This window comes from Homo sapiens, chromosome 9 (genome assembly GCF_000001405.40).
Source record: "Homo sapiens chromosome 9, GRCh38.p14 Primary Assembly".
Taxonomy (NCBI): Eukaryota; Metazoa; Chordata; class Mammalia; order Primates; family Hominidae; genus Homo; species Homo sapiens.
Window position 1 is genome coordinate 64436169 of NC_000009.12, and position 20095 is coordinate 64456263.

Below are 20095 nucleotides of genomic sequence, written 5' to 3' on the forward strand. Positions count from 1 at the left end.
CATGATTCTGGTGCTCCAATTCCCCAAGATTAGGCCAGTGGTAGACATTTCAAGCTGACTTCTTGTCTTTTTTATTTGTCTTCGTTACTCTGTCAGCACTTTTTTAGTTTCAGGAACAAGATGTTCTAAGCTAATGTTGTATTTTCTCTGCTCCAGCCATGGAATGAGTGATTTTTCTTAGAAGCAGAGGTGGAGCCACTGAGGAAGCACAGGCGAGCCCTCCCCAGCACGTGATCACTGGTCCCCAACAGAACAACCGCTGCCGCATCCATGAGGTATCAAGAAACTAGCAAAGGGCCTTCTGGCTGTCTGGGCACAGTCCTCATGTGGTCCCTGGCTCAGCCTCAAGGGTCCTGCATTAGTCTTCCTGTAGCCTCTGTGCTGTGTCTGTAGATCGGGACTCTGTGGGAAGGGCCCTGGGATGCCCAACAGCACAAGATGTCTCATCTGCCAAATGTCCCTGCCTTCCTCCCACTCTGACACTCAGGAATAGGCTACATGGCATGTCCAGGCAGTGCCAGGCCACCTCACTATCTCCTTTGAGATTGGCCCAGAGGGCTTTTGGGGTGAGTGTGGAGCTGGGCACCTGGAGCCTGAGGCCAGCTGTCTCTCCCTCTGTCTTGGAGGAAAAGCCATGTCCCAAAAAAAACCCCAGGGCCTGACCTCTGGACACACATACAGGGAGGGAGGGTCTGTGGGCTGAGGGGGGCATTGTAATGAGACTTTGAGCACGCTGCTCAGGGGCCTGGTCAGTGGACCATGCTCAGAGATGACCTGGTCATCAGGACCTAGTCAGTTGGGACCTGGTTAGTGGTGGCCTCCTCAGTAAACGCCTCCTCAGTGGGGACCTGGTGACCTAGTCATTGGAAGCCCGGTTCATGGGGACCTGGTCACTGATGGTCTTCTTAGTGAGGCCTGATGGGCTGGAACATAAACAATGAAAAACTGGTTGGTGGGGCCTATGCAGTATACTAGGGGCCTGGTCAGTGTGGGGCCTTAGTGGCTTGGAGCCTCGTCAGTGAGGGCCTGGTCAGAGGGGGCTTGGTCAGCTGGGGACTGATCCATGGAAAATTGTTTAGTGGGGGTCAGGTGAGCAGCGACCTGGTCAACTGTGGTCTTGTCAGTGGGAACCTGGTCAGTGGGGACCAGGTCAGTGGGAAATTGGTCAGTGAGGTCTGGCCTATGAGGCCTATTAAGTGTGAGCCTGGTTAGGAAGACATGGTCAGTGGGGACTTGGTCAGTGGGAACTGGTAAATGGAGGAGTGGTCATTAGAGGCCTCATCAGTGGGAAACTGGTCCTGGGCGGCTGGTCAGTAGGAACCTGGCCAGCTGGCCACTGTGTGACCTCAGGCAGGGGGTTTGTCTGTGGAGTCTCCTTGCCTCCATCTGCAGGGAAGGTGAGTCAGGGCACCTTGGAGGGTGGCTGGAAAGAGAAGGTGAGAAGATGTGTTGAATCCAGCACCACTTGGCAGACCTACAACTTTACACATGACCTGTGTGCCACCTAGAGGGGGTGCCAGCCCTCTCTGCTGTGCCTTGGTGCCCCTCCTCTCTCTGCATCCCCAGGACCACCATGGGTGGGGAAGGCAGAGATTGGGGAGCACCTGTAGAAGCTCTAATGCTGGCCATGAGCCCTCGGTGATGACCTGGGTGCACCTGTGAGTGGAGAAGCTAGGCCTGGCCAGAGAAGCAAGAGAAACACACACACACATATGTGCACACACACACGCATGCACAAACACACTTCATCCACACATGTCAGTTCAGGGGATAGAGGACACTGACTCTGGGCCCTGTTGACCCATGCAGGCTCCCATTGTGGTGGGTTGTGTCACCCCACAATGTCACTGTTGCTGAGCCCCCATCGCCTCTGTGTTGTGGAGCAGTTAGAGACACACTGTGGTGTCTGAGTGGCTCTGTGTGAAGGACCGTTTTCTAGGTGAGAGGCACATCTCAACACAGCTGACTGATCAGACTCAGGTGAGTGGGACCTGCTCTCTTCTCTTCCTCCTAGCTTGGGGACAGTCGCTATCAGTTGGGTGGTTTTGGCCTCTGAGCAGCTACTGAGGGTAATCCCTGAACACTCACCGGATGCCTATTCTGTGCTGACAGTCATCTCGTTCATCCTCGCAGCAATTCCATTCTGCATCTTTTCTGATCACCCCCGTGATTACCCAGGACAACCCCATCAGGCCCTCTCACCCAGGCCCAGTCCAGCTCCATGATAACAAAGACACAGGTCCAGAGACAACTGCCCTGCATGGTGCCTGCATCTGACCCCCCTTGGTGGGTAGTGACCAGCACAACATGGAAGAAGCCAGGGCAGCATGCAGGCAGCTGCCCTGCAGCCCCAGATGGCTCCTAGGCCTTGGGAAGTCATTCTCAAAGGGGAAGCTGGTCATTTTGAGGTCCCTGGAGGGAAGGGTGAATGTGTCATCCCAACAGCCCTGGAAGCCAGCAGCATGCCATACATCTTACCCAACCTGTGTGACAGAGGCCCCCTCCTGGGGCACAAGTCCCATACCTAAAGGGTCCTGTCCCAGTTGAACCTCATCCTGAGCCCTGGGAGGGGAGGAGCACCATGGGCCTCCCTGCAGCAGCCAGGATTACCACCCAGGGGACTCAGCCTTCTGTGGCCCTGGCCAGACTTAGAATTTGGCCCAAGACAAGACAAGCTCACTCGGAGCAGCTTGTCAGTACCCGGGGCCTGTGCATGCCAAGTAAGTCCAAGCTGGCTCAAAGAGCAACCAGCCACCTCTGCAAGGGTGTGCCAGGAGCAGGTGGACCAGCCACCAACCTCACCCACTCAAGGAAACAGGGATGGCCAGGTTCCCACACCCCGAGTGACCACCACCTGACAGCTGATGGAGTGGAGGCCTGAGGAAAAGCAGATGGCACTGGGGCCCTACCTCCAGGGCAGAATAACTGATTTACCCCGACTGGCAGCAAGTGAGGTTGGTGGCTGGTCCACCTGCTCCTGGCACACCCTTGCAGAGGTGGCTGGTTGCTCTTTGAGCCAACTTGGCCTTGCCTGGCATGCACAAGCCTCAGTTCAACTGTGCTGCAAATGGAGCCACATAGAGGAAATGAGCAGCAGCCTCAGGAGCAGGGTTTGCGCTGCCTTTGGGCTCCAATCCATGCATCAGGGCTCCTACAGCACTGTGGGCTTCTTGGGTGCCAAGAGGCAGACCACAGGCCCTCTTGAGGAGGATTCTATGTTCAAGTGCAGAAAGGGTCCAATCTGGTGGATGAACCACACGGCCAGCTTCTGGGTGCAGGCACAGTGCCACATCTTCCATCACTTCCTGATGTGCCACACCAGCACTGAAGAGACAGCCTGGAGACAGGGCAAGAGGAAGGCTGAGAAGGATGAGATGGTGAGTGCCAGATTCTCCCTGGCTCTGAGCCCACCTCCAGGGTGACACTCAAACTTTAGGAGTGGGAGAGCGAGATCAACAGCTTCAAATGCTTCACCAAGAAGATGAACAACAGGGCACTCGGCTCAACTTCACAGCCAATGAGTTGACATGCAAGCAGGTGATGGTGACAGGCTTTAAGAAGGAGCATCAGAAGGCTGCCAGTTCTTCAGCCTCAGCCAGGCCTTGGAGCTGGACCAGCCCATCCACTTCACCACAGATGCCTTCAACACTGTCAGTGAGCTCTTTGCCAATCATCCCAGGCAGAACCTGGACCCAGTCATGGACCTATTAGTGCTGTCTCAGGGACACCAGACCAACATCCTGAACATCATCCACATACACAAGCAAGTTCTTACCAAAGTCGCGGAGGGCAGGCAACATGTGGCAGAAGGGAAGATAGAGATGCAGAGGCTGATGACATCAGAATCACAGGAACAGGAATTCTTTCACCACTTCAGTGGAAATTCACCACTTCCATCCAATTTGAATGAGAGACATGAAATCACAGATGCAGCATTTCTTGCAATAAGAGATACTATTTTTTCAAAAATCATCCAGGAATTGATAATGTTGAATGACTAGATATTTGATTGTGGACTGTTTCCAGTTCAAGGATACTTTCTACACAGAATAATAACACTAGCAAGGAGCTAGTGCCAGCTATCCGTGGTAGCACAAGGATGGTTTTGTGCTCAACTGAAATCCAGCTGAATACAGAATTGTGTAGGAAACAGTTAATATGTTGACAGAATAGAAACAGTAGCAAACATGAACTAAATCATGCCATGAATGCCTAAACTACCATTGGGACTTTTGGAAGAATGATAATACCACTTTACTGCTCTTTGAAGTGTGAATATTTTAGTGTATATGCTGTAGACCACAAACCCTATAAAGAGTCCCAAATAAGTTGGCTGGATAAAGCCTGCTGTGCATGTCTTTATACTCAAAGTCTGATGATGCAATTCGAATATGTGTCCCCACCAAATCTCCTATTTAATTATATTTCCTAATGTGGAAGGTGGATCCTGGTATAAGGCAATTGATTTATGAAGGCAAATTTCTCATGAATGGTTCAGCACCATCCCCTTGTACCATCCTCACAATCATGAGTGACTTCTCGTGAGATCTGGCCACTGAAAGCTATGTCACCTCCCTACTCTGCGTGTTTTCCTCTTGCCATGTGAGACAACTCACTCTTTCTTTGCCTTGTACAAAGATTGAAAGATTTCTGAGGCCTCCCAGAATCAGAAGCCCTGTGCTTCCTGTCCACCCTGCAGAACCATGAGCCAATTAAACCTCTTTTTCAAAATGAATCAAACAGAAAATGGCAAATGACGATTGCAGCATTGCTATAAAGATACCTGAAAATGTGGAAGCAGCTTTGGAACTAGGTAATGGGCAGAGGTTGGAAGAGTTTGGAAGGCTCAAAAGAAGACAGATGAGAAAATTTTTGGACTATCTTAGAGACTGGTTAAATGGTTGTGATAAAAATCCTGGCACAAACATGGATAGTGAAGGCCAGGCTGAGGAGGTCTCAGATAGAAATAAGAAGCTTTCTGGAAAAGGTCTTCCTTTTGAATATGGAAAGCTTACACAATGCCTGTACCATCATTATACGTTAGAAGCTGTGAACTTGCTTTTTATTTCAGAGACTCATAGGAAAAAGAGACCGTAGCCTTGACTCAGATGAGATTTTGGACTTTGTAAGTTTGAGTTAATGCTGAAATGAGTTAAGACTCATTCTGGCAAGGCATGATTGTATTTTGCAATGTGAGAAGGACATGATATTCATGGGATCAGGGACAGAATAATATGGTTTGTCTCTGTGTCCGTATCAAAACCCATGTGGAATTATACTCCCTAATGTTAGAGGTGGGGCCTAGGTGGAAAAAGATTTAGTTATAAAAGGGTGCGGGTAGGTTCTCCACGAATGATAAAGGACCATCACCTTGATGCTGTCCTCCTGATAGCGAGTGAGTTCTCATGAGATCTGGTTGTTTAAAAGGCTGTGGAACCTCTTTCCTCACTCTGTCTTCCTCCTACTCCTGCCTTAGGAGGTATCTCATTGTCTTGGCTTTTGGTATAATTAGGAGGCTTCTTGATTCCTCCCAGAAATGGAAGACACTATGCTTCCTTCACAGCTTGCAAAACCATGATTCAATTAAACCTCTTTCATTTACAATAACAGAGAAAATTAGAACTGCCGAGAGAGCTGTGCATGTCTTCAAGGCCTTTTTCCCTTTGTCTTGGCTATTAGCACAGGGCTTCTTTATATGCAAATTTCTGAAGTCTTCTTGAATTTTTCCCCTTAAATGGGGTTTTGTGTTATTGCTACATAGCCAACCTGCTATAGAGATACCTGAAAAAGTAGAAGCAGGCTCAGTAGTGGGTAGCAAACAAAGATTGGGAGGGTTTGGAGGGATTAGAGCATGACAGAAAGATGAGGGAGAGGGAGGAAGTGATTTAATCATGGATGGGCAGGGGTGGGTGTGGATGGAAAAAGGGGTGGTTAGGGTGGGAATGAGTAGGCTGGCTGTAGGGTGGTGGGAGGGTCGTGGGTAGTAGGAAGGGGGAGTAGCGTGCTGCAGAGGCAGAGCCTCATGTAAAACCATTACTAGGGCAGTGCACCTGTGGCTTTGCAGGTTTGAGCCCCCATGGATGCTCTCATGGACTGGACTAGTGTTCAGTGCCTGTAGCTTTTCCACACTGAGGGTGCAAGCTGTTGGTGGGTCTCTAAATCTGGGGTCTGTAGGGTGGTAGCCCTGTGTGGGGGCTCCAAGTCCGTATTTTCCTTCTGCACTGCCCTAGTAGAGGTTTCCCAAGAACTCTGCGTCTGCAGCAGGCTGCTGCCTGGAAACAGTGGGAGATGGGGGTGGGAGGCAGATCCTTCACCAATGGTTAAGCACCATCTTCTTGATGCTGACCTAGTAACAGTGAGTTCTTATGAGATCTGGTTATATAACAAGGTGTGGCACCTCTTTCCTCTCTCAGTCTTGCTTCTATTCCAGCCATATGAAACATCTCCTTGCCCCTTGGCCTTCTGGTATGGTTGTGAGGCTCCCTGAGACGTCCCAGAAGCAGAAGCCACTCTGCCTCCTTTACAGCCTGCTGAACCATGAGCCAATTAAACCTCTTTTCTTTATGATCATACAGAAAATTAGTGCTATGAAGTGGAGCTATGAAGTGCCTTCAAGGCCCTTTCCCCTTTTCTTGGCAACCAGCACTCAGCTTCTTTTCATGCAAATATCTGGAGCCTTCATGAATTTTCCCCCTGAAAGTGGACTTTTCTTCTTTTACCACACAGCCAGGTTGTGATAAAGATAGCTGACAATGTAGAACCAGGTTCAGAAGTGGGTAAAAGACAGAGGTCAGGAGAATTGGGAAAGCTTGGAAGACAGCAAGATGAGGAAAATTTGACCACTGTAGAGAATTGTTAAATACTTGCAATCAGAAGGCTGACAGAAGGATAAACACTGAAGTTCAGACTTAAAAGGTCTCAGATGAAGATTAGGAATTTCCTGTGAACAGGAGCCATGGTTACATTTGATTGGCCTTAGCAAAGAACGTGGCTGCACGGTGACCCTGCCCTGGACATCTATGAAACTATGAATTTGGGGGTGATGATTTAGGATGTATCTGGTGGAATGAACATCTAGGCAGCATAGCGAGGTGTCCTGTCTGCATTGAATAGCCTGTGTTCTTATGCGTGACCTAAGAAATGACTTCAAGTTGGAACTTCTATTGAAATGAGAAGTGGAGACCTAAAGTTTGGAAAATCTGCAGCCTGGCCAAGTGGTCAAAAAGAAAAGATGATTTTCCGGGGGAAAATTCAAGGAGGCTTAGAGTATCTGCATAAAAAGAAGCCCAGTGCAAATAGCCAAGACAATGGGAAAGAGGCCTCGAAGGCATTTCACAGTCCTCTGCAGCAGCCCTTGCTGTCACAGGCCCCCATACAGGGAGGCATCATTCTCCAAACCCCAGATTCATAGACCCACAAACAGCTTGCACCCTCAGTATGGAAAAGCTACAGGCACTCAACACCAGCCCTGTCCATGACGGCAGCTACAGGGGCTGAACACTGCAAAGCCACAGGTGCAGATCTGCCCAAGGCCTAGGAAGACCAGCCCTCATACACCTGTGCCATGGATGTGGGACAGGGATTCAAAAAGGATGATTCTGGAGCTGTAGGATTGAGTGACTGGCCTGCTGGGTTTTGGACATTTATGTATCCTATGAATCCCATCTGTGTTTTGTGCTGCTTTCCAGCAATTTTTTTTTCTATTGGTTGAGAATGCTTACCCATTGCCTGTACAATCATTGTAGCTTGGAAGTAGTTAAGTTGCTTTATAATTCACAGACTCATGGCAGAAGGGACTGTAGACTTGTCTCAGATAAGACTTTGGGCTTTGGATATTTGAGTAAATGCTGTAATGAGTTAAGATTTGGGGGACTGTAGGGAAGGCATCATTGTATTTTGCAATGTGAGAAAGACATGAGATTTGGGGGACCCGGGACAGAGTAATATGATTTGGCTCTGTACCTCTCCCAAAACTCATGTGGAATTTTAATGGGGAATGTTAAAGGTGGGGGCTGGTGGAAGGTGATTTAATCATGGTGGAGAGTGGAGGTTGGATGGGAGGGATGGGGAGAGTTGGAGGGTATTGTGGGGGTGGGGAGAGTTGGGGGGGATTGTGTTTGGGTTTATGGGTAAAAGGCAGGAGTGGGGGTGGATCCTTCACAAATGGGTAAGCACCATCTCCTTAATGCTGCCCTTCTGAGAGTGAGTTCTATTCATGATTTTGGAGCTGTGAGATTGAATGAACAGTGTCCTGCTGGGTTTTGGATGTGCATTGGGCCTGTGGTCCCACTTGTGTTATTTTTCTTGGAAATTTCTTCCCTTTGGATTGAGAAAACTTACCCAATATCTGTACCATCATTGTACCTAGAAAGAAATGAATGCCCTTTTAACTTCAGGGCCTCATAGGCAGAAGAGACTGTAGCGTGATCTCAGATGAGACTTTTAACTTTTCACATTTGAGTTAGTGTGGAAATGAGTTAAGGCTTTTGGAAACTTTTGAAAAGATGTGATTGTATTTTACTGTGTGAGAAGGACATGGGATTTGGGGGGGTCAAGGTCAGCATAATATGATTTGGCTGTGTGCCTCTAGAAAAACTCACATGGAATTTTAATCCCAAATGTTGGAGGTGGGGCCTGGTGGGAGATTATTTAATCATGGATGGGAGGTGTGGGGGTGGAAGAAAAAAGGGGTGGGTAGGGTGGGGAACAGTATGCTGGCTGTAGGGTGGTCGGAGGGTGGTGGGTAGTAGGAAGGGGGAGTAGCCTGCTGCAGAGGCAGAGGCTCATGGAAAACCTCTACCAGGGCAGTGCACCTGTGGCTTTGCAGGCTTTAGCCCCCATGGCTGCCTTTATGAGCTGGGCTGGTATTGAGTGTCTATCGCTTTTCCAAACTGAGGGTGTGAACTGTTGGTAGGTCTACGAATCTGGGGTCTAGAGGATGGCGGCCTCCTGCAGAGCGACTCAAAGCCCTTGTTTTCCTTCTGCACTGCCACAGAACAGGATTTCCAAGAGGCTCTGCCTCTGCAGCAGGCTTCTGTCTGGAAACAGTAGGGGGTGGAGGTGTGTTGGGGGGTGGATCCTTCACCAATGGTTAAGCACCATCTTCTTGATGCTGACTTAGTGATAGTGAGTTCTCATGAGATCTGGTTGTATAACAGGCGGTGGCACCTCTTTCCTCTGTGAGTCTTGCTCCTACTCCTGCCGTATGAAACATTTCATTGCTGCTTTCCTTCTGGTATGATTGGGAGGCTTCCTGAGTCTTCCCAGAAGTAGAAGCCACCATGCTTTCTTTACAGCCTGAAGACCCATGAGCCAATGAATCCCCTTTTCATTATGACCACACAGAAAATAAGTACTGCAAAGTGGAGCTATGAAATATCTTCAATGACTTTTCCCGATTGTCTTGGCTGTTAGCACTGGGTTTCTTTTTAATGCAAATATCTGAAGCCTTCTTGAAGTTTCCCCTGGTGGAGAGTGGAAGTTGGATGTGTGGGAAGGGGACAGTTGGAGGGTATTGGGAGGGTGGGGAGAGTTTCGGGGGATTGTGTTTGGGGTTACAGGTGAAAGGCAGGAGTGCCAGGCTGCAACAAAGATAGCTGAAAATGTAAAGCGGTTCAGAAGTCGGTAACACCAGAAGTTGGAGAGTTTGGAGAGCTTGAAAAAAGACAGGAAGATGAGGGAAAGTTGGGACCATTGTAGAGACTTGTTAAATAGTTTTGATTAAAATGCTGACAGAAGGAAGGCCAGGGAAGGTCAGGGAAGGCCAGGCTTACAAGGTCTCAGATGAAAATGAGGAACTTACTGGGAACAGGAGCCACGGTTACTTTTGTTTTGCTGTAGCAAAGAACGTGGCTGCAGGGCGACCTTGCCCTTGAGATCTGTGAAACTTTGAACTTGAGGGTGATGATTTAGTGCATATCTGGTGAAATGAACTTCTAGGCACCATAACACAAGAGGGATCCTGTCTGCATCAAACAGTCTGTGCTGTTATGTGTGACCAAGGAAATGACTTCAAGTTGGAACTTATATTTAAATGATAAGCAGAGCTCAAAAGTTTGGAACATTTGCAGCCTGGCCAGGTGGTCAAAGAGAAAAGCTGATTTTCAGGGGGAAAATTCATGAAGTCTCCAGAAATTTGCATAAAATGGAGGCCAGTGCTAATAGCCAAGACAATTGTGGGGAAAAGGCTTGGAGGCATTTCAGAGATGTTTGCAACAGCCCTTGCTGTCACGGGCCTTGGGACCTAGGAGAGAAGAATGGTTTCCTGGGCCAGCCCCATGGCCCTGCTGCTGTGTGTAGCCTCAGGACACTGCTGCCTGCATCCCAGCAGCCCCAGCTCCTGCTCCGACCTTGGCTGAAAGATGTACAGGTACAGCTTGGGTCACTGCCTCAGAAGGTGCAAGCTATAGGCCTTGGTTGCTTCTACATAGTGTTAAGCCAGTGGGTGCACGGAGCACTAGTCTAGAGACTTGGGAGCCTCCATATATATTTCAGAAGATGTATGGAAATGCCTGGTGTCCAGACAGAAGGCTGCCAAAAAAGCAGAGTCTCATGGGAAACCTCTACTTGGGCAGTGCAGAAGGAAAATATGAGGTTGGAGCCCCCACACTGGAGGCCACCATCGTGCAGACCCCAGATTCATAGACCCATCAAAAGCTTCTTACCCTCCATGGGTTAAAAACTCCAGGCACTCAACACCAGCACAGCCCATGTGGGCAGCTGCGGGGGCTGAACACTGCAAAGCCACAGGTGCAGAGCTGCCCAAGGCCTTGGGAGCCCACCCTCATGCCCTTGTGCCCTGGATGTGGGACAAGGATTTAAAAAGGATGACTTTGGAGCTGTAGGTTTGAATAAGTGGCCTGCTGAGTTTCAGAATTTCGTGGGACTTGTAAGTCCTGTTTGTGTTTTGTTCTTCTCTCTGGCAAAAATCTTCCTTTTGGGTGGAGATTCTTACTAAATGCCTGGACAATCGTACCTTGGAAGTGGTTAACCTGCTTTGTATTTCAGAGGCTCAGGGGCAGAAGAGACTGCAGCTTTGTCTCAGTTGAGACTTTGGGCTTCAGACATTTGAGTAAATGCTGGAATGAGTTAAGACCTTGGGGGTCTTATCCAAGACGATGGGGAAAAGTCACTGAAGGCATTTCATAGCTTAACTTCACAGTACTAATTTTTTGTGTGTTCATAACAAAAAGGGGTTTAATTGGCTTATAGTTCTGCAGGCTGTAAAAAAAGCATAGTGGCTTGGGGAAATGGCAGGTAATGTATCATTTCATTTTGCAAAGTGAGAAGGACATGAAATCTGGGTAGGCAGGGACAGAATGATAAGATTTGGCTGTGTGTTACAGAAACTTATCTGGAATTTTAATTGGAAATCTTAAAAGTGGGGCCAAGTTGAAGGTGATTTAATCATGGAGGGCAGTGGGTGTTGGAAGGTGGGGATTGGGGAGAATGGGTGGATTTTGGTGGAGGTGAGGGGTGAAAGGTAGGGTTGGAGGCAGGATCCCTCACAAATGGTTAAACACTGTCTCCTTAATGTTTTCCTCACGATGGTGAGTTCTCGTGATGGTTTTGGAGCTGTGAGATTGAATGGATACTGGCCTTCTGGGTTTGGACTTGCGTTGGCCCTGTCATCTCATTTGTGTTATTTTCCTGGCAAACCTCTACCCTTTGGATTGAGAAAACTTGCCCAATGCCTGTACCATCATCATACCTTGAAAGAAAAGAACTCCCTTTTAAATTCAGGGACTCATAGGCAAAAGGGACTGTAGCCTTTTCTCAGGTGAGACGTTGAACTTTTTACATTTGAGTTAATGTTGAAATGACTTAAGACTTTCAGCAACTTTTGAAAAGGCATGATTGTATTTTACTCTGTGAGAAGGATATGATATTCAGGGGATCAGGGTCAGAATAATATGGTTTAGCTGTGTATCCCTACCTAAACTCATGTGGAATTGTAATCCTGAATGTTGCAGGTGGGGCCTGGTGGGAGGTGATTTATTCATGGATGGGAGAGGGGTGGGGTTGGAAGTACAAAGAGGTGGGTTAGGTGGGGAGGAGTAGGTTGGCTGTAGGGTGGTGTGAGGGTGGCATGTTGTGGGAGGGGAGTAGCCTGCTGCAGAGGCAGAGGCTCATGGGAAACCTCTACTAGGGCAGTGCACCTGTGGCTTTAGCCCCCATGGCTGCTCTCATGGGCTAGGCTGGTGTTTAGTGTGTGTAGCTTTTCCATACTGAGGGTGCGGGCTGTTGGTGCATCTATGAATCTGGGGTCTGGAGGATGGTGGCCTCCTGCATAGGGGCTCCAAACCCATATTTTCCTTCTGCGCTGCCCTAGTAGAGGTTTTCCAAGAGGCTCTGCCTCTGTCTCAGGCTTCTGCATGGAGACAGTGAGGGGTGGATATGGGGTGGGGGGCAGATCCTTCACCAATAGTTAAGCATCGTCTTTGTGATGCTGATCTCCTCATAGTGAGCTCTCATGAGATCAAGTTGCATAACAGGATATGGCACCTCTTTCCTCTCGCTGTCGTGCTTCTGCTCCTGCTATATGAAACACTTCATTGCCGCTTGGCCTTCTGGTATGGTTGTGAGGCTTCCTGAGTCCTCCTAGAAGCAGAAACAACTATGCTTTCTTTACAGCCCGAAGAACTGTGAGTCAATTAAACCTCTTTTCTTTATGTATATACAGAAAATTAATGCTGCAAGGTGAAGATATGAAATGCCTTCTAGGCCTTTCCCGCAATCTCTTGGCTGTTAGCACTGTTTTTTTTAATGCAAATATTGGAGGCCTTCTTGATTTTTCCCTTGATAATGGACCCTTCTTCTTTTACCACATTGCCAGGCTGTGACACAGATAGCTGACAATGTAGAAGCCAGTTCTGAATTGGGTGACGGCCAGAGGTTAGAGAGTCTGGAGGATGGTAACCTCTTGTGTGGGGCCACCAAGCCTTTTTTTTTGTTTTTTGTTTTTTTTTCTGCTCTGTCCTAGTAGAGGTTTTCCTAGTGGCTCTGCCTCTGCCTCAGGCTTCTGCTTGGAAACAGTGGGGGTTGTGGGTGGTACGGGGCAGATCTTTCACCAATGGCTCCACCAATGGTTAAGCATTCTTGATGCTGACCTTGTGTTAGAGAGTTCTCAGGAAATCTGGTTGTATAACAGGGTGTGGCACCTTTTTCCTCTTTCTGTCTTGTTTCTACTTCTGCCATATAAAACATACTATTGGTGCTTGGTCTTCTGGAATGATTGGGAGGCTTCCTGAGTCCTCCCAGATGCAGTAGCCTCTATGATTTATTTAAAGCGTGCAGAACCATGAGCCAGTTCAACCTCTTTTCTTTCTGATTATACAGAAAATTAGTGCTGTGAAATGGAGCTATGAAATGCCTTCAAGGCCTTTTCCTTATTTTCTTGGCAATGAGCACTCAGCTTCTTTTCCGGCAAATATCTGAAGCCTGCCTGAATTTTTCTCCTGAAACAGACTTTGCTTCTTTTACCACATTGCCAGGCTGCAACAAACATAGCTGAAAATGTAGAAGCAGGTTGAGAAGTGTGTAACGGCCAGAGGTTGGAGAGTTTGGAGGTGTTGGAAGAAGACAGGAAGATGTGGAAAAGTTTGGACCAGTGTAGAGACTTGTTAAATAGTTATAATTAAAAAGATGACAGAATGATGGACAGTGATGGCCAGGCTTAGAAGGTCTCACATGAAAATGAGGAGCTTGCTGGGATGAGGAGCCAAGGTCACTTTTGTTTTCCCTTAGCAAAGAACGTTACTGCACGATGCCATTAACCTGGAGATCTGTGAAACTTTGAACTTGAGAGTGATGATTTAGAGTGTATCTGGTGGAATGAACTTTTAGGCAGCAAAGCTCAAGAGGTGTCTGGTCTGTGCCAAACACCCTGAGGTGTCTTATATGTGACCAAAGAAATGACCTCAAGGTGAAACTTATATTTAAATGAGATGGAGAGCTTAAAAGTTTGGAAAATTTGCAGGCTGGCCAAGTGGTCAAAAAGAAAAGCTGATTTTCCGTGGGAAAGTTCAAGAAGATTTCAGAAATGTGCATAAAATGGAATTGAGTGCTAATAGCCAAGACAAGGATAAAAAGGCCTTGAAGGCACTTCAGAGACTTTTGCAGCAACCCTTGCTGTCACAGGCCCCCAGGCCTGGGAGAAAAGAATGATTTCCTTATCCAGTCCCATGGCCCTGCTGCTGTGTCCATCCTCAGGACACTGCTGGCTGCATACCTGAAGCTCCAGCTCCAACCATGGCTGACAGATACAAAGGTACATCTTGGGTTACTGCTTCAGAGGGTGCAAGCTGCAAGCCTTGGTGGCTTCCACATAGTGTTGAGCCAGCAGGTGCAAAAAGGCCAAGACTAGAGGCTCAGAATCCTTCATGTAGACTACAGAGGATTTACAGAAAAACCTGGGTGTCCAGGTCGAAACTATTCAAAGAGGCAGAGCCTCATGGGAATCCTTTACTAGGGCAGTATGGAAGGAACATATAGGGTTGGAACCACCACACAGGGAGCACCATTCTGAAACGTCAGATTCATAGACTCACTAACATCTTGCATCTTCATTGTGGAAAAGCTACAGGTGCTCAACACTAGCCCAGCCCATGAGGGCAGCTGCGGGGGCTGAACACTGCAAAGCCACAGGTGCAGAGCTGCCCAAGGCCTTGGGAGCCCAGCCCTCACGCCCTTGTGCCCTGGATATGGGACAAGGACTTAAAAAGGATGATTTTGGAGCTGTAGGTTTGAATAACTGGCCTGCTGGGTTTTGGAATGTCATGGGAACCTGTAAGTCCCGTTTGTGTTTTGTTCTTCTCTCTGGCAAAAAATCTTCCTTTCGGGTGGAGGTTCTTACTCAATGCCTGGACAGTCATACCTTGGAGGTAATTAACTTGCTTTGTATTTCAGAGGCTCAGGGGCAGAAGGGATGGCAGTCTTGTCTCAGAAGAGACTTTGGGCTTTGGACATTTCAGTAAATGCTGGAATGAGCTAAGACATTGGGAAACTGTAGAGTAGGCATCATTGTATTTTGCAGTGTGAGAACAACATGAGATATGGGGGGTCAGGGTCAGAATAATACGATTTGGGTCTGCATCCCTACCAAACTCATTTGGAATTGTAATGGTGAATGTTAAACGTGGGGCCTGGTGGGAGGTGATTTATTCATGGAGAAGAGTTGGGGGTTGGAGGTAGGGGTGTGGGGAGAATAGGGGAGATTATTTTGTGGGTGTGGGTAAAAGGTAAGGGTAGGGGGGCAGATCCTTCACAAATGTTTAAACACTATCTCCTTAATGCCGCCTGCATGATAGTGAGTTCTCTTGATGATATTTGCAGCTGTGAGATTGAGTGAATACTGTCCCGCTGAGTTTTGGACTTGTGTTGGGCCTGTGGGCCCGTTTGTGCTATTTTTATGGGAAATTTCTTCCCTTTGGACTGAGAAAGCTTACCCAATGCCCATACCATCATTGTACCTGGAAAGAAAAGAACTCCATTTTAAATTCAGGGACTCATAGGCAGAAGAGACTGTAGCCTTGTCTCAGGAGAGACTTTGAATTTTTTTACATTTGGAATGAGTTAAGACTTTTGGAGATTTTTGAAAAGTCATGGTTGCATTTTGCTCTGTGATAAGGACATGAGATTCTGGGATATCAGGGTCAGAATAATATGGTTTGGCTGTGTGTCCCTGTGAATCTCATGCGGAATCGTAATCCCTAATGTTGAAGCGGGTGACTTAATTATGGACGGGAGGTTGGTGGTGGTGGAAGGTAAAAGGGATGGGTAGGATTGGGAGGAGTGGGTCGGTAGTAGAGTGGTGGGAGGGTGGGTGGTAGTAGGAAGGAGGAGTAGCCTGCTGCAGAGTGAGGGACTCATGGAAAACCCTCTACTAGGGCAGTGCACCTGTGGTTTTCAGGGTTTAGCTCCTCAGCTGTTCTCATGCGCTGGACTGGTATTGAGGGCCTGTAGCTTTTCCTCACTGAGGGTGCCAGCTGTTGGTGGGTCTGTGAATCTGGGGTCTGGAGGTTGGTAGCCACCTGCGTGGGGGCTCCAAGCCCATATTTTCTTTCTTTACTTCCATAATAGTGGTTTTCCTAGAGTCTCTGCATCTGCAGGAGGCTTCTGCCTGGAAACAGTGGGAGTTGGGGTGTGAGTCAGATCCTTCACCAATGTTTAGGCACCATCTTCATGATGGTGACGTGGTGATAGTGAGTTTTCATGAGATCTGGTTGTATAATAGGGCATGACACCTTTTTCCTCTCTCATGCTTGCTCCTGCTCCTGGCATATGAGATATCTCATTTCCCCTTGACATTCTGGTGTGATTGGGAGGCTTCCTGAGTCCTCTGAGATGCAGAAACTAGTATGCCTCCTTACAGCCTGCAGAATCATTAACAATTAAACTTCTTTTCTTTTTGATCATTGAGAGCATTTTTAATGCAAAGAAGATCTATTAGGTGTCTTCAAGGCCTTTTCCCCCATGTCTTGGCTATCAGTACTCAGCTTCTTTTCATTCAAGTCTCTGAATCCTCCTTGAATTTTCCCCCTGAAAATGGAATTGTCTTCCATACCACATTGCCAGGCTTTGACAAAGATAGGTGATAATGCAGGAACAGGTTCAGAAGAGGGTAGCAGATTGAGTTCAGGAGAGTTTGGAGGGCTTCCAAGACAAGAAATTGAGGGGAAATTTGGATCTTTGTAAAGAATTGTTAAATACTTGTGATCAGAAGGCTCACAGGAAAATAGACAGTAAAGATCAGACTTAGAAGGTCTCAGATGAAGATGAGGAACTTACTGGGAATAGGAGCCAAGGTTAGTTTTGTTTTGCTGTAGCAAAGAATGTGGCTGCACATTGACCCTGCCCTGGAGATATGTGAAACTTTGAACTTGAGGGTGATGACTTAGTGAGTATCTGGTGGAATGAACTTCTGGGCAGCAAAGCTCAAGAGGTGTCCTGTCTGCATCAAACAGCCTGTGCCCTTTTGTGTGACTGAGGAAGTGACCTCTGGATGGGTCTTACATTAAATGAGTCACAACTCTTATATTAAATGAGAAACAGAACTCAAAAGTCTGGAAAACTTGCAGCCTTGCCAAGTGGTCAGAAAGAAAAGCTGATTTTCAGTGGGAAAATTCAAGAAGGCTTCAGGAATTTGCACGAAAAGGAGCCCGGTGCTAATAGCCAAGACAATAAGGAAAAGACCTTGAAGGCATTTCAGAGACCTTTGCAGCAGCCCTTGCTGTCACAGGCCCTGGGGCCTAGGAGAGAAGCATCGTTTCCTGGGCCAGTTCCATGAGCCCCCTCTATGTGCAGCCTCAGGACACTGCTGCCTGCATCCCTGCAGTTCCATTTCCAACTCCAGTCATGGCTGAAAGATGCACAGGTAGAGTTTGCATCCCTGCTTCAGGGGTGCAAGTTCCAAGCCTTGGTGTCTTTCACATAGTGTTAAGCCAGCAGCTGCACAGAGCACAAAACTAGAGGCTTGGGGGCCTGTGTCTAGACTCCAGAGTATGTACGGAAAAACCTGGGTGTTCAGGCAGAAGCTTTTCCAAGAGGCAGAGCCTCATGGCACACCTTTACCAGGGCAGTACAGAAGGAGAAAATGGGGTTGGAGTCCCTAAATATGGAGACACCATTCTCCAGACCTTAGATTCATAGATGCACCAACAGCTGGCACCCTTAGTGTGGAAAAGCCACAGGCACTCAACACAGCCCAGCCCATGAGGGCAGCTGTGGGGGATATATCATGCAAATCCACAGGTGCAGAGTTGCCCAAGGCCTTGGGAGCCCAGCCATCACATGCCTGTGCTCTAGATGTGAGATGTAGATTCAGAAAAGATGATTTGGAGCTGCAGGATTCAATGACTGGCCTGCTGGGTTTTTGACTTCATGGGGTCTGTAAGTCCTTGGACTTTTCAGTAAATGCTGGAATGAGTTAAGTCATTGGGGGACAGTAGAGAAGTCATCATTGTATTTTGCAGTGTGACAAGGATACAAGATTTGGGGACCAAAGGCCAGAATAATATGATTTGGTTCTGTGTCCCTACCAATACTCATGTGGAATCGTAATGGGGAATGTTAAAGTTGGGGCCTGGTTGAAGGTGACTTAATCATGGAGAAGAGTGGGGGTTGGAGGTAGGGGTTTGGGGAGAATGGGGGAGATTATTTTGTGGGTGGGGGTGAAAGATGAGGATAGGGGGGTGGATTCTTCACAAATGGTTAATCACTATCTCCTTAATGCTGTCTGCATGATAGTGAGTTCTCTTGATGATTATGGAGCTTAAAGATTGAGTGAATACTGTCCTGCTGGGTTTTGGACTTGCATTAGGCCTGTGGTCCCATATGTGTTATTTTTATGGGAAATTTCTTCCCTTTGGATTGGGAAAGCTTACACAATGCCTGTACCATCATTGTACCTTGAAAGAAAAGAAATCCCTTTTAAATTCAGGGACTCATATGCAGAAGGGACAGTAGCCTTGTCTCAGGTGAGACTTTGAACTTTTTACATTTGGAATGAGTTAAGGCTGTTGGAACTTTTGAAAAGGCATGATTGTATTTTACTCTGTGATAAGGACATGAGATTCTGGGATAGCAGGGTCAGAATAATATGGTTTGGCTGTGTGTCCCTATAAAAATTCATGTGGAATTTTAATTCCAAATGTTGAAGTTGGGGCCTGGGGGAGATGATTTAATCATGGACTGGAAGGGGTTGGAGTGGAAGGAAAAGGGTTGGTTAGGGTGGGGAGGAGTAGGCTGGCAGTAGGGTGGTGGGAGGGTGGTGGGTGGGAGGAAGGGGGAGCAGCCTGCTGCAGAGGCAGAGGCTCATGGGAAACCCTCTACTAGGGCAATGCACCTGTGGCTTTGCAGGGTTTAGCCCCTGCCGCAGCTCTCATGGGCTGGGCTGGTGTTGAGTGCCTGTAGCTTTTCCACACAAGGTGTGAGCTGTTGGTGGGTCTATGAATCTGGGGTCTGGAGGTTGGTGGCCATCTGTGTGGGTGCTCCAAGCCCATATTTCCCTTCCACACTTCCCTAGTAGAGTTTTCCAAGAGGCTCTGCCTCTGCCTCAGGCTTCTGCCTGGAAATAGTGGGAGTTGGGGGTAGGGGGTGAATCCTTCACCAGTGGTTAAGCACCATCTTTGTGATGCTGACCTTGTGATAGTGAGTTCTCATGAGATCTGGTTGTATAATCGGGTGTGGGACCTCTCTCCTCTCCCTGTCTTGCTCCTCCTCCTGCCACATGAATCATCTCATTGCCCCTTGACATTCTGGTATGACTGGGAGGCTTCCTGATTCCTCTTAGATGTAGAAGCCACTATACTTCCTTATAGCCTGCAGAATCATGAGCCAAGTAAACCTCTTCTTTATGATCATAGAGAAAATTAGTACTGCAAAGTGGGTCTATTAAATGTCTTCAAGGCCTTTTCCCTATTGTCTTGGGAGTGAGCACTCAGCTTCTTTTCATTGAAGTCTCTGAACCCTTCTTGAATTTTCCCCCTGAAAATGGACTTGTCTTCCCTTACTACATTGTCAGGCTGCAGCAAAGATAGCTGATAATGTAGAAGCAGGTTCAGAAGGGGGTAGCAGACAGAGTTCAGAGAGTTTGGAGGGCTTTGCAGACAAGAAGTTGAGGGAAAGTTTGGATCTTTGTAAAGAATTGTTACATACTTGTGACCAGAAGGCTCACAGGAAAATGGTGAGTGAAAGCCAGACTTAGAAGGTCTCAAATGAAAATGAGGAACTTACTGGGAACAGAAGCCAAAGTGACTTTTGTTTTGCCTTAACAAAGAATGTGGCTGCACGGTGACCCTGCCCTGGAGATCTGTGAAACTGAACTTGAGGGTGATGACTTACTGAGTATCTGGTGGAATGAACTGGGCAGCAAATCTCAAGAGGTGTCCTGTCCCCATGGAACAGCCTGTGCTCTTATGTGTGATGGAGGAAATGACCTCTGGATGGGACTTACATTAAATGAGTCCCGTCTCTCAGAACTCAAATTTAGGAAAATTTGGAGCCTGGCCAAGTGGTCAAAAAGAAAAGCTGATTTTCAGGGGGAAAATTGAGGAAGGCTTCAGAAACTTGCATGAAAAGGAGCCCGGTGCTAATA

General features: G+C 47.7%; 1 long non-coding RNA gene and 1 pseudogene across 1 annotated transcript in view; both read left to right on the forward strand.

Annotated features, from left to right (window-relative positions):
• ANKRD20A4-ANKRD20A20P (ANKRD20A4-ANKRD20A20P readthrough) overlaps positions 1 to 20095 on the forward strand; it is a 99849-nt gene that overhangs the window by 66775 nt on the left and 12979 nt on the right. Inside the window, exons 23-24 of the long non-coding RNA NR_146419.1 lie at positions 157 to 275; positions 1810 to 1980. This is a non-coding gene — a long non-coding RNA (ANKRD20A4-ANKRD20A20P readthrough). The remainder of the gene's footprint in view (positions 1 to 156; positions 276 to 1809; positions 1981 to 20095) is intronic.
• Positions 2864 to 3983, forward strand: SNX18P9 (sorting nexin 18 pseudogene 9; annotated as a pseudogene).